Consider the following 13,258-nt stretch of genomic DNA (forward strand, 5'->3'; position numbering starts at 1 on the left):
AAGGTTTCTGTTAAACATTTAAAAGATTAAATCTTGTTGCTACAGCTCTATCAGGCACTCTCATCCAACTTTCTTCTTTAACTAGAAAATAATTTTACCCAAATTACATGCACTCTTATGCTTAGTAATTTTTTACTAAGAGAATGCAAAGAACATACAATTATCTATTAATTTGCTAATTTTTAGGTGGTAACTGCCATAGCCACATACATATTAATGTTTAGATTTCATTAAAAAAATGGTTTTATCTTCTTGCTGATGGCAGTAGGTCTGGCATCCTGAACATGGAAGCTGTTGTTAAAACATTTTGAACCAGCAAAATATTTTAAAACACACAGCAGTGATACTTAGTGAATTATTCATGTTCATTCCCAGGATGAAGATGGGGAGAGAATCATGGCATCAATAAATACAGGATATGATTCTATTTTAGTAATCCTCTGAAGATCATCCTGTAAGTTTGCAGCAATTTTCTGATAAATCCTGCCTTTATTTATCTGTTATATCCCTTGTGTTAGGTAAATTGACAAGTAATTGACTTTAGTTTAATGCTATAACACCACACATTGACTTATCTTCTTTCCTTTTTCAGATAAATTCTATCTTCATTTATTTTATAGTTTATTGATGCTCATGCTCTTAAATTTAATATATTATGTATAAACATTTTATAATTTTTGGAATGAAAATGGCACTTGCCATTTTTGTTTCCCAGGATGAGATGATGAAATGGAGGAATTATCTTTTTTTTCTATGAAAGCAACACCATTTTCATTAAAAGAAACTTCTAAAATACAAATGGTTTAAACCTACAAATAAGCTTTAGAGTAAACTGCAAAAAGAGAGAAATGAAATGAAGATGGAATATATAACTAAAAAGGAAGCACAACTTAAAGAATTGGAAAATTCTCAGCTTAGTCATGTAAAGAATTAAGTCATATTTGGAAGAGAATACAAAAGGTGTGGACAAATAAAGTGTAATAAGGAGATTAGTATGGACAGAAGGAAGCCAGATGCTATCCATCAAGACAATGAAAGAATAACCTCAAGGACATTTTTTAAATCATTGAGGCTGCCACTTCCATCGGCTCAGAATGCCAAGGCTTTGAGGGCAAAACAGTTTCAAGGAAGGGGAATAAGGCACACCTGGAACTGCAGGGCTGATTTCTCAGGGCCACCTCAAGTCTCTGTTCCCTAAATTGTGTTGCAGCACTTGCCACCCCAGCTGTGGCTCAAGTTAGCCCAGGCATGGCTTAGGCTGCCCTTCTCAAAGGCAGTACAAGTAGTAAACCTTGGCAGTGTCCATGTGGTGATAACCTTGCATATTAGCAGAGTGCGAGAGCTGTGGAGGCACGACTACCTCCATTTAGATTTCAGATGATGTCTCAGAGAGTCTTGGGACCCAGGCACAGAACTGCCACAGGAACATGGCTGGTGCAGAGTCCCCACTAGGGCAATGCCTAGTGAAGCCATGAGGACAGCTTCACCACTAAGACCTCAGAACTGTACAACCACCAAAATGGAACTCCAGCCTGGGAGAGTGACAGACACTAGACTTCAACCCTGGAGAGCTCTGGTGTGGGCTTTGCCCCACAAAGCTATGAAGGCAGGATCCCCTGGAGCCCTGGAGATCTAACCACCATGCCAGTGTGTGAAAGCAGGACATGGAATCGAAGATTATTCTCAATAATTAAGAGTTAATGTTGTTTGCCATGTTTGGCTTTGGATTCATTTGGGACATGTTACCCCTGTCTTCTTGCCCATTTCTTCTTTTGGGAATAGGAATGTCTATTCTATGTCTGTCCCACTTTTGTATTTTGGTAGCACATAATTGTTTAATTTCAAATGCTCGCAGCTAAAGGGGAATTTGCTTCAGGATGAATCATACCTTCAGTCTCACCTGTATCTGGTGGAGATGGTATTTAGGTGAAACTCTGGACTTTAAACTTTGGAGTTGATACTGAAATAAATTAAGATTTTTGAGGCTATTTGGATGAAATGAATTTATATTGCATGTGAGAAGGACATATATTTTTGGGGCAGAATGTTGTGGTTTGAATATGCTCCCTCTCAAATTCATGTTATCGAGGCCTAATCCCCATTGTGGCAGTATGGGGAGATGGTGCCTTTTGGGAAGTGATTTATGTCATGAGGGCTCCAGTCTCATCAATAAATTAGTGTTTTGTAAAAGGGATACAGGGAATAACTCAGGCCCTTATTGCCCTTCTGTTTTTTTGTTCTACATGAGGGTACAACATTCTTCCTCTCCAAAGGATGCAGAAACAAGGCACCATCTTGGAAACAGATAAACGAGGCCCTCACAAGCCGGTGTTTTCATCTTAGCCTTCTCAGCCTCCAGAACCACGAGGAAATAAATTTTTACTGTTTCTAAGTTACCCAGGGTGATATTTTATTGTAGCAGTACAAAGAAACTAAGACAGCTCCTGTGCCCATTTTAAAATTTGGTTATGTGTGTGTTTCGCTACTGAATTGTATGAGTGCTTTCTAAGTCCATTTTCTGTTACTACAATAGAATATTACAGACTGTGTAATTTATAAAGAAAAGAAATGTATTTCTCATAGTTCTGGAAAATCCAAGAGCATGGTGTTGATGTCTGGTAAAGACCTTCTTGCTGAGTTAGTTAGCCCATGGAAAACAGGCAGAAGGACACACAGGCATACAAGGCACAGAGGTAAATGAGCTGAACTCCTCCTTTCTATTAGGAATCCATTCCTGGCATACCTAACCCACTCCTGAGATAATGGCATTAATCCCTTAATGAGGAAGGAAACCTCATGGCCTAATTACCTCTTAAGGCCCTGCCTCTTAACACTACCACAATGGCAACCAAGTTTCCACCAACTAAATTTTGGGGGAACACGTTCAAATCATAGCAAATTCCTTATGTATTTTGGATATTTTGTATATTAAATTCATATCAGATGTATAGTTTTCAAACAGTTTCTCTTCATTTATAGGTTGTCTTTTCTTTCTTTTCTATTTTTTATTTTATCTTTTTTGTTTGCTTTGCAGAAGCTTTTTAGTTTAATGCAATCCCACTTACACAGTTTTGCTTTTGTTTTCTATGCTTTTGGTGCCATACAAAAAAATTATTACCAGGACCAAGGGCAAGGAAATATTTCCTATGTTTTCTCCTAGGAGTTTAATGGTCTCAGGTCTTAAATTTAATTCTCTAAGTTGTTTTCTGTGTATGGTATAAGATAAAGATCCCACTTATTGTTTTTCATGTAAATATCTAGTTGTTCCAACACCATTTGTTATAGAGACTAATAACCACATTGTATATTCTTTGTGCCCCTCTCAAAAATTAGTGGACTTTTCATGTGTGAGTTTATTTCTTGGCTCTTCATTTTGTTCCATTGGTCTGTATGACTGTTTTTAAGCCAGCACCATAATATTTTGAATACAATAGCTTTGTAATATAATTTGAAATCAGGAAGTTAATTCCTTTAACTTTTTTCATTTTTCTTAAGATTGCTTTGGCTGTCTGCGTTTTTTGTGTGTGTGTGTGTGTCATTTCATACATATTTTAGAGGTTTTTTTCCCTAATTTGGTAAAAGATGACTGAAATTTTGATAGGGATTTTATTGAATGTATAATTTAATTTTGGTAGTATGGCCTTTTTTCAATATTAATTCTTCCAATTCATAAATATGGGATATAATTCTCTTCATTTGTATCTTTTCCAATTTCTTTCATCACTGTATTATATTACACAAATCTTTCACCTTCTTGGTTAGCTTTATTCCTAAATATTTTGTTGATTTTGGTGCTATTGTAAATAGGATTATTTTCTTCATTTTCTTTGGAAGTTTTGTTGATGTAAAAAAACACAAGTGATTTTTGAATATTAATTCTGTATCCTACAGCTTTACTAAATTTGCTTATTAGTTAACAGCTTTTAATGGGGTCTTATAGGTTTTCTACAAATAGAATCATATCATCTGCAAAAGTAATTTTACTTTTTCCTTTCTATTAATTTCTCATGTCTAATTTCTCTGGCTAGGAATTTCAGTACAGTGTTACACAAAAGTGGCAAGAGTAGGTACTTGCCTTGTATCAGAGTACAGAGGCAAAGTTTTCGGTTATTCCTAATGGATTATGATGTTAGCTATAAGCGTTTTATGAATGGTCTTTACTGTATTGAGGTAAGTTCCTTTGGTAACCAATTTTGTTTAGAATTTTTATCATGCATATATGTTGAACTTTGTCATTGTCAAATGTTTTGTCTACATTTATTTTACGATAGAAAAATGTAATCCATTTATGTTTAAAGTAATTATTAATAGGTAAGGACTTACTAGTGCCATTTTGTTGTATTCTGACTGTTTTGTAGTTTAATCTTTGTTTTATTCTTTCTCTCTTGTCTTCTTTTTAATGTGATTAATTTTTTGTAATGGTATGCTTTAATTCCTTTATCTTTTTTGTATGTGGTACAGGCTTTTGCCTTTGTATGTTGTGGCTACTATGAGGCTTACATAGAATATCTTTTAGTTACGATATTCTATTTTAAGTTGATAACAATCTAACTTTTACTGCATACAAAACCCTACATTTTAACTTCCCCTCCACCAACTTTTATGTTATTGATGGCACAATTTACCTTTTACATATTAAGTTTCCATTGCCAAATTATTATAGCTAGTTCTTTTGAATACATTTGCCTTTTTACTTTAATACTAGAATTAAAAGTTATTCATGCACCATCATTAGAGTATTAGAATATTCTGAATTTGAATATAGTTTTACCATTATAGTGAGTTTCATACTTTCATATGCATTGTTAGCATCCTTTTGTTTCAACTTGGAGAACTTCTTTATCATTGCTTGTAAGACAGATCTAATTGTGATGAACTATCACAGCTGATTTGTCTGAGAGAATAGAATTACATATTCACTAAGATAGACTGCACGTTTGGTCATAAAATAGATCTTCATAAATCTAAAAGGATTGAAAACCTGTGACTATGTTTTCTAACCAAAAACAAAATTCAGTTAGAAATCAGCAATAAAACATCTAGGAAAATCCAAATATTTAGAAACAAGATGATGCGTATTTAAACAATTCACAAGTCAAAGATGGAATAAAAGTGATATTGGCAATTTTTTAAGTGAATATCAAAAAAACTCGCACTTCAAAATTCATCAAATACAGCAAAGAAAGCAATTCATGAAGGGAAAGTTTAAATACCATCTTGAATACTTTTAAAGCCAGTGACTTAAGGATCTATATTAAGAAGCTAGTAAAAGAAAAGCAAAATGAGCTCAAATAAGTAAGAGGAAGGAAATAATAATGATAACAACAGAAATCAATTTTTTAAAAGCAGATGAACAATAGAGAAATTTAACAAACACAAAAATGTGTTCTTTAAAAAGATCAACAAAATTTACACATTCCTCTAAACACTGACCAGCAATAAAGGAAGAGAACACAAATCAATAATATTATAAATAAAAAACAAGGTCATCACAATAGAAAGAATACTTACAGTGTCATTATAAAAATAGTTTTGACCTCAAGGGCTGGGTATTTTTAGGTGTGATACACCCAGAGTGTTTTTAGTCTTTATTTTGTCACATTACTGGTTTTAAAATTACCTTTTTTATAGCTTCTTAAAAATATTATTTTCAGATCAAATGAATCAACATTTATCTTGATGTTTGGAATGTTTATGGCCATTTTTCTTTCTACAGGTTGATTCAATATGTTTTTTAATTTGCATGTTATTTTACGATTCCCAACTGTCCACTTTAAATAATTTTCTAGTTCATGAATAACGTACATTCAAATTATTTACTTTTGCCCTAAAAAATGAAAACAACTATTTAAGAATAGTATTAACATTAAAGTAGGATTAAGCTTTTGGAATGCCTCATCTCCTCTCTATTATATTCACTCATTTAATTACTTCTGAGACCTATCAACAACTAAGATGCTTCTAAAATCTTAATATTTTTCCTAGAAATAAAACTATTAATCTTTATCTCTTCTCCTTCTCTAGAAAACTTGAATAGTCTATACCCAGATGTAAATATCATGGATTTTTTTTACTCTCTTCTTCAAGCAAAAGACAAACCTCTTAAAAAAGATTAATATTGGCAAATTAAGGTATCACCAGTAGGACATAAATAGAATTATTTTTAGTTTATACATGTGTTTGCAGACCAGTGTTTAGAGACTGTTTGGTGAAGTCAAACCCTTTAATTTTAAAAGCAAACATTTGTTGAATCAGTCAATCTTTAAACATTGTACTATATTTATGATCTTTTCATCGTATAACAAATTATAGCTCCTTTTAGTCTGCTTATGGCTCCTCCAAGATACTGTGGAAACAACCCAAATTGCTTCTAACCCAAAAGATAAAAGTTCAGATTGTCCCCTCTTGTACTCTTTTAATGAAGATGAAACCAACCCTGTTACCCTATCTACAGATGACTGGGGCAATTATTTCTGAAGCTGTAAAGGTAATTACATATCAGCTAGCCAAAAGAAAGAGACCAACCAAGTCAAATCTGTGAAGCGCATACTTCCATATATGTTAGCCCACGGTGAGTAATGCAACTATAAATTGTAAGTGAAGAAGGAGAGTCTGCAATTAAAGAATACTCCTGGCTAGGTGCGGTGGCTCACTCCTGTAATCCCAACACTTTGGGAGGCCAAGGCGGTTGAATCACGAGGTCAGGAGTTCGAGACCAGCCTGACCAACATGGTGAAACCCCATCTCTACTAAAATACAAAAATTAGCCAGGCATGGTGGTGTGCACCTGCAATTCCAGCTACCCAGGAGCCTGAGGCAGGAGAATCATTTGAACCTGGGAGGCGGAGGTTGAAGTGAGCCAAGATCATGCCTTTGCACTCCATCCTGGACAATAGAGCAAGACTTTGTCTCAAAAAAAAAAAAAAAAAGAATACTCCTTTGCACATTAACTTTATATTTTTGCTCTCTAGGATGCAAACAATAAACCTCAGAACATCTCAAACCCAAGGAGTCTGGGTGAGTGAGAAAGTTACTTTCTATACTACCTTTGTGTTACTTTATTCTGTTAAGCCAGAATTCCTGGAGGTATTATTATTTTCTTATATTTGGTAAACTTTGGATTATCTATCCATCTCACAGTAGCTTTCTCACTTGCGTAGAACTGTTTCTCACCCACAACAATGTGTTTTACCTGAAGTCAAAATTTGACTTAATAATTATGAGTGTTTATATTAAAAATTATAAGTTTATCATTGTTATTAAAACTGAAGTCACAATCAGAAATCCTTGGAATAATTAAAAACATCTGAGGCTAAGAGGCCTTGTAAGAAACTCAGATTCTGATACCCTAACTGAATTGTGTGAAGAATCTAGGTAGATAGATAAGGGTAATTGAATAGGTGCCAACAAGTAAATAACGTTGCAAGAAAACATTGATAAAATACTTATATTATATATGGCAGTAACTGTGTTAAATGCTTTATATTCAATTAATGTAATCCCCACAATATAATCTGGAAGTGGTTCTATTTTTACTTGAAAGAGGCATATCAACTTTCCCATGGTTATAATTACAATAACATTGAAACAAGTGTGCTAATCGTCATGCGGACTGACTTCAAAGTTTATAATTCCAAAGCCTATTTTAATATGTCCATGCATTATTTTCATCAAAAGCAACTGAGGAGCTCATTAAACATACAGATTTCTAGGATCCACATCAGACATTAAGAATTTTAATCTCTGAGTTCCAGTTAGGAAGTATAAATACTTAATAGATAATGAGAATTCTGGGTGATTTTGTTACTGAGATTCATAGTAAGATACATAGGTTCTAGATAATGAGGCACCAAATCAAAGCCAAGGAGGGAAGCTTAAATGGAAACAGTTGGATAAGCCTGAGAAATAAAAACAAGTGACATTTTTGTTTGAGTGTGGCTCCACAAGGGAATCACTTGGAGAACTTTTAAAAACCTCCATGTGTTAACTCTACTCCAGACCCATGACATGTGGGTCCTTCACATCAGTACTTCAAAACTATTCCCAGATGATTTTTAATAAGAAACCAGGTTTTTCATTAACATACAACTAAAACTAATTTGGAAGGATTTCTCCTATTAAATGTGACAATTGAACAAATTAAAACAGCCTCTCTGATCTCTGTTATATGTAAGAGGAGATCATTGGAGGTCTTTAGAGAGTGCCATCTGACTATTCTTATTTATGGCAGTTTGCCAAGCATGTGTATTCTACACATATCTAATAATCTTATTGGTGTTCGGCAACATAATAGTTAATAATGACAAACTTTGTTTTCTATCTGAGTTTTGAGTTTATAAGAATAAATGATTTTAATTCATGTTACCTCACAAAGATTCCCATTGTAATTGCTTGTCATTGCTCAAATTCCTGATAAATAGTATATTTTACACCTGAAAATTTAAATTATAACCAAAAGTTGATATAAGAATTTTAAGAGGAGCTAAGCTGTGGTAACAGCAAAACCACTCCATGCTTTCAAATCAATTTATATGCCTAGATCTAGGAAATACACTAAAATGTTCCCTTTCCTTTCCCTAGAATTTATAAACAACATTTATAATTTAGTTAAAAAAATTCTGTATCTCTATTATGATGGAGGATAGTGGAAGTAGGAAAAAGTAAACTAAAGTAGCAAAATATACTTTAGAAATGAGTTTATTTAGAAACTCACTAGTACGGCATATGAAATAAGTAAACAGAATGTGTTACCAATGGTTCAAAATAATTTGGCTCTACCATACTTGAAATTCTGATGTATATTCAGTTTCATTGACTCCTTCTTAGAAAACAGAACTCTTAAGAAAATAAAAATGCTCTTTTAGATAAATATATCTTTACCTACCTAATGTGACATGATTATTACTGGAAGAATATAATACCCTTCCTTTTTACTCCAATAAGTTGGTATATTTTAACTTTATTTTTCTAAGTGTATTTTATTACCTGAAATTGGCTGCAATTACTATATTTAGAAAGTAGATAATAAAACAACGTAGCATCTTAAACTATTGATATTTTAAAATAAGCAGAATCTAGAAAACTCATACATTTTTATACTTTATTAACTATTGTAACATCATTGGACCTGTTTCATAGAATGGCTGTGTCTAGAGACTCCCTAGAGAAAAATTTTTATCTCTAGACAATCATTATCATCGCAGAGAGACTACTCATAACAAATGCTTTTCTAAATTTAATTGGTAACTTTGCTCTTGATATAGATCAAGGACCAACAATACCAAAGTTATATGCTGACTTGCATTTGTTTTTTCCGGAGAGATATGAAATTCTCTGTGATTAAACTGCAGCTGAAATTGCTTTCACATAAATACTTAGTAGTTTATTTTGCAATGGTAAAAGTAGTAACAAACCTCAAATTTTCAAAGTTGAAGATGATATCAAAAATAACTTTTAAAATCTGTAAACAGAAAAGTTTAAGGACAGCTTTTAAAAACTGGGTTTGAAAAAGCAAATAAAATGCTCTAGATAATTCTCACTAGGAAAATATTTATCAGTTAGGATACCCAAATATTTTTATCTATATTCCATAATGCTACTTTATAGTTTGGATTCCCTTGGCTAATTTTCAAAATAAATCAACCACTGCTTGGCTTCTTCAGTATATTGCACATTGCATATTTTCAACTGATATTAGTTCTTTGGATGAATTCCAAGAGAAATAAGGCATTATTAATTGATCTATTTATAACTGATTTAGCAGTGCGTTTTTAGTGTTCAATCTATCATTATTTAACATTGTATACTTTACTACAATACACAAATCTGTAACTGTTTCTTTTTAATAATCATTTGCAACCTGATGTTCAGGTGCCCTAGTTTTGTAGGGTCCTTAACTTTTAATAAGTGGGGACCTGGCTTTAGGAGACCATTGACTCTGACTCTGATTTGTGACTCAATGAGCTTAAACTGTCAAATTGAAATTAATGTATAATTGAAACTAGTTATATTGGTTGTTAAATGACCTGGGTGAGCCTACCCCAACAAAACCTTCTTTTAAATACATTCAAGCATACATAAAATGTAGTTCATATTTATTAACTTCTTATATGCCAGGAACAAATGTAAATGCATTGTTTACAGTAATCACACCATAACATAATGATTCAAGTAATTAACTTTGCCCTTAACTTATTTTCATTTTATTTTGGTCTCTATATATGGATATGTAATGGTTAATATATTGTAATAGTAGAAAATGTTAAAAGTATAAAAAGATATACAGAGAAAACAATCTCCCACCTTTGTCTCCCATTTATCCAGCTGCTATCTGCATCTACGCCTTGAGCCTAGTACTTTTTGAGGGAATGACTCCTTAAGAATAGTTTATGCTCCTTTGGAAATATGTCTGTTTAGATTTTTCTACCTCTGTATATGAGATTTATAAAATGTATCTTTTTATTTGTGGTGTTTTCATTTTTATTTCTTTATTTTAAAAATTATTCCAACAATGGAAATTCATTTTGGTTTCCAAATTTCCAAATGGAAGGAGGATTTTTCTTTCCAATATTGTCTTCAATTTCTCATGTCATTAAGTAGTGTTCAGAAAAGGTTTGTACTACTAATTTTTTGGAATTATTGTATATGCTTTATGCTGTAAAGTCAATTTTCATAACTATTGAATGAAAATCTAGAAAGATATACTCTTTTCAGGTTCTAAATTTTGATATTAATCAATCAGATATATCCAGTTAATTATATTTATTACCACTTCCACATCTTGTTTTTGTTGTATTCATTACTCATGAGCTAAAAGTCTTTAACTTTTACCAGTGAATTTTTTGTCTTTTTCTCCTTCATGAATGAGACAAAAAATTGCTTTTTAGTTATATTTTCTTTTTGAATACCAGTGAAATTGCATACTATCATATATGCTTACCAAGATTACACCTATTTTTGAGATGGAGTCCCACTCTCTCGCCCGGGCTGGAGTGCAGTGGCGCGATCTTGGCTCACTGCAACGTCTGCCTCCTGGGTTCAAGCCATTTTCCTGCCTCAGCCTTCCAAGTAGCTGGGACTACAGGCATGAGCCGCCATGCCCAGCTGATTTGTGTCTTTTTTTTTTTTTTTTTGAGACGGAGTTTCGCTCTTGTTGCCCAGGCTGGAGTGCAATGGCACGATCTCGGCTCACCACAACCTCTGCCTTCCGGGTTCAAGCGATTCTCCTGTCTCAGCCTCCCAAGTAGCTGGGATTACAGGCATGTGCCACCACACCCAGATTAATTTTGTATTTATAGTATAGACGGGGTTTCTCCATGTTAGTCAGGCTGGTCTCGAACTCCTGATCTCAAGTGATCTGCCTGCCCCGGCCTCCCAAAGTGCTGGGATTACAGGCGTAAGCCACCGCACCAGAAAATTACACCTATTCTATTATAAAGTAATTGCCCCTGCTTTATCAGTTTTCTATTCCACATAAGAAACCATATCAACCTTTATTTATTGTAAGATTCTGTGCATGGGCAGTTTTAGCTGGTTTCAACCAGGGAAGGGCTTTTGCTGGTCTCAGATGGTGTCACTCATGCTTCTGCCCTTAGGTGCCAGATTGCCTTGAGACTGGCTGCTGTAGGAGGGCCTCACGTGGAGTTCTGGTGTCTTGTGTCTGCTCTCTAGGACTGGGAGTTGTCCAGTAGGCCAGCTCACTTCTTCATCAGACAATGTGCAGAAGTGTTCAAAGACTCATACATCTTTATAATGAGTGTTCTAATAGATTGGAGCTAGCATTACATTACTTTTGCACATTGTCTTGTCCCAAACATGTCTGAAGACCATTTCAGAACGAAGGGAAAGGGATATAGACTCACTGTTTAATGGGAGTAACTTCAAAGTCACATTGCAAAATACATGTCCCTAGAAAAGGGTTACGACCAATTTTATATCAATCCACAACTATTTTCCTTGTGTTTACATTGGCCTACCACTACTTTGCTCATTTTGTTTTTTTAATTCAAACTTTCTTACTTCCAGTATTCTTCCTTAGGGGAGCACAGTAGTCCTTCCCTTACTGCAGGGGGATATGTTCCAAGATCCTTGGCCAAGGTCTAAAACCGTGGATAGTATCAAACCCTATATATACTATGTTTCTTTCCTATGTCTACATATTTGTGATTAAATTTAATTTATAAATTAGGCAAAGTAAGAGAATAACAAAAATGACTAATAATTAATTAGAACAATTAAGTAAAATAAGGGTTACTTGAACACAAGGCACTGCAATGCCACAACAGTCATTCTGTAAACTGAGACAGCTACTAAGTGACTAATGGGCAGGTAGACAGTGTGGATCTGCTGGACAACGGGTAAATTCATGTCCTGGGAGGAATGGAGAAGACAGCACAGAATTTTATCATCATATTCAGAACAGTGCTCAATTTAACAAAGGAATTGTTTATTTCTGGTATTTTCAATTTAATGTTTTTGGACTGCAGTTGACCATAGGTAACTGAAACTGGAACATGAAACTGTGATTAAGGAGGGACTACTTTCTTTTACATACGGAGCGGACTTAACTTTGTGACTCAAAGTAAATATTAATATTTCTCTCTTGTTTGTAAATACAAGAATAAAGCCCTTTACATTTGTCCATATGACAGATATTGATGGCTGTATTTGTCATCTTGTTTTGTCATCTTTTAAGGGTTTGTTAGGCATTGCAAAAAGTCTTTCCTAATAATTCATTTAGTCCACTACCTCTTAAGCTAGTTATCTATTTACTCTCTACAGGAGCAATTGTAAAATTAATGTTATGTTTTCAATAATATTTTATTTCTAGTTTTAAATTTACTTTCCAAAATTTTAATTTGTACTATGAATATTTTCATAATGCATTGAATGATTTCTTAGCTTTAAATAACATTTCTCTAGTCTAAATTGTTGCAGATAAAGAGTCATTATACTATCTTATGATCTTCCTCTCTCAAATTTTATTAGTTGTACTATTTCTGTAGGGTTAAAACATATACTGTTTATATTTTTTCTTGATAACCCTAACTTCCATGCTTGATTTAGTCTTGTTTCTAGAATTAAATATAGGTGTACCTCAGAGCTATTGTGGGTTTGGTTCTAGACCGCCAAATAAAGCAAATAATGTAATAAAGCCACTCAGATGATTTTTTGGCTTCCCAATGCATACAAAATTTATGTTTACACAATGCTGGAGTTTATTAAGTGTGCAATAGAATTACACCTAAAAATAGGCTGG

At 33.6% G+C, this 13,258-nt stretch overlaps 1 long non-coding RNA gene across 1 annotated transcript in view; it reads left to right on the top strand.

The window, feature by feature from the left end:
• LOC124904475 (uncharacterized) overlaps positions 1–13,258 on the top strand; it is a 765,263-nt gene that overhangs the window by 664,884 nt on the left and 87,121 nt on the right. The window contains exon 6 of the long non-coding RNA XR_007066777.1: positions 6,972–7,017. This is a non-coding gene — a long non-coding RNA (uncharacterized LOC124904475). The remainder of the gene's footprint in view (positions 1–6,971; positions 7,018–13,258) is intronic.

Source organism: Homo sapiens, chromosome 1 (genome assembly GCF_000001405.40).
Source record: "Homo sapiens chromosome 1, GRCh38.p14 Primary Assembly".
Lineage (NCBI taxonomy): Eukaryota > Metazoa > Chordata > Mammalia > Primates > Hominidae > Homo > Homo sapiens.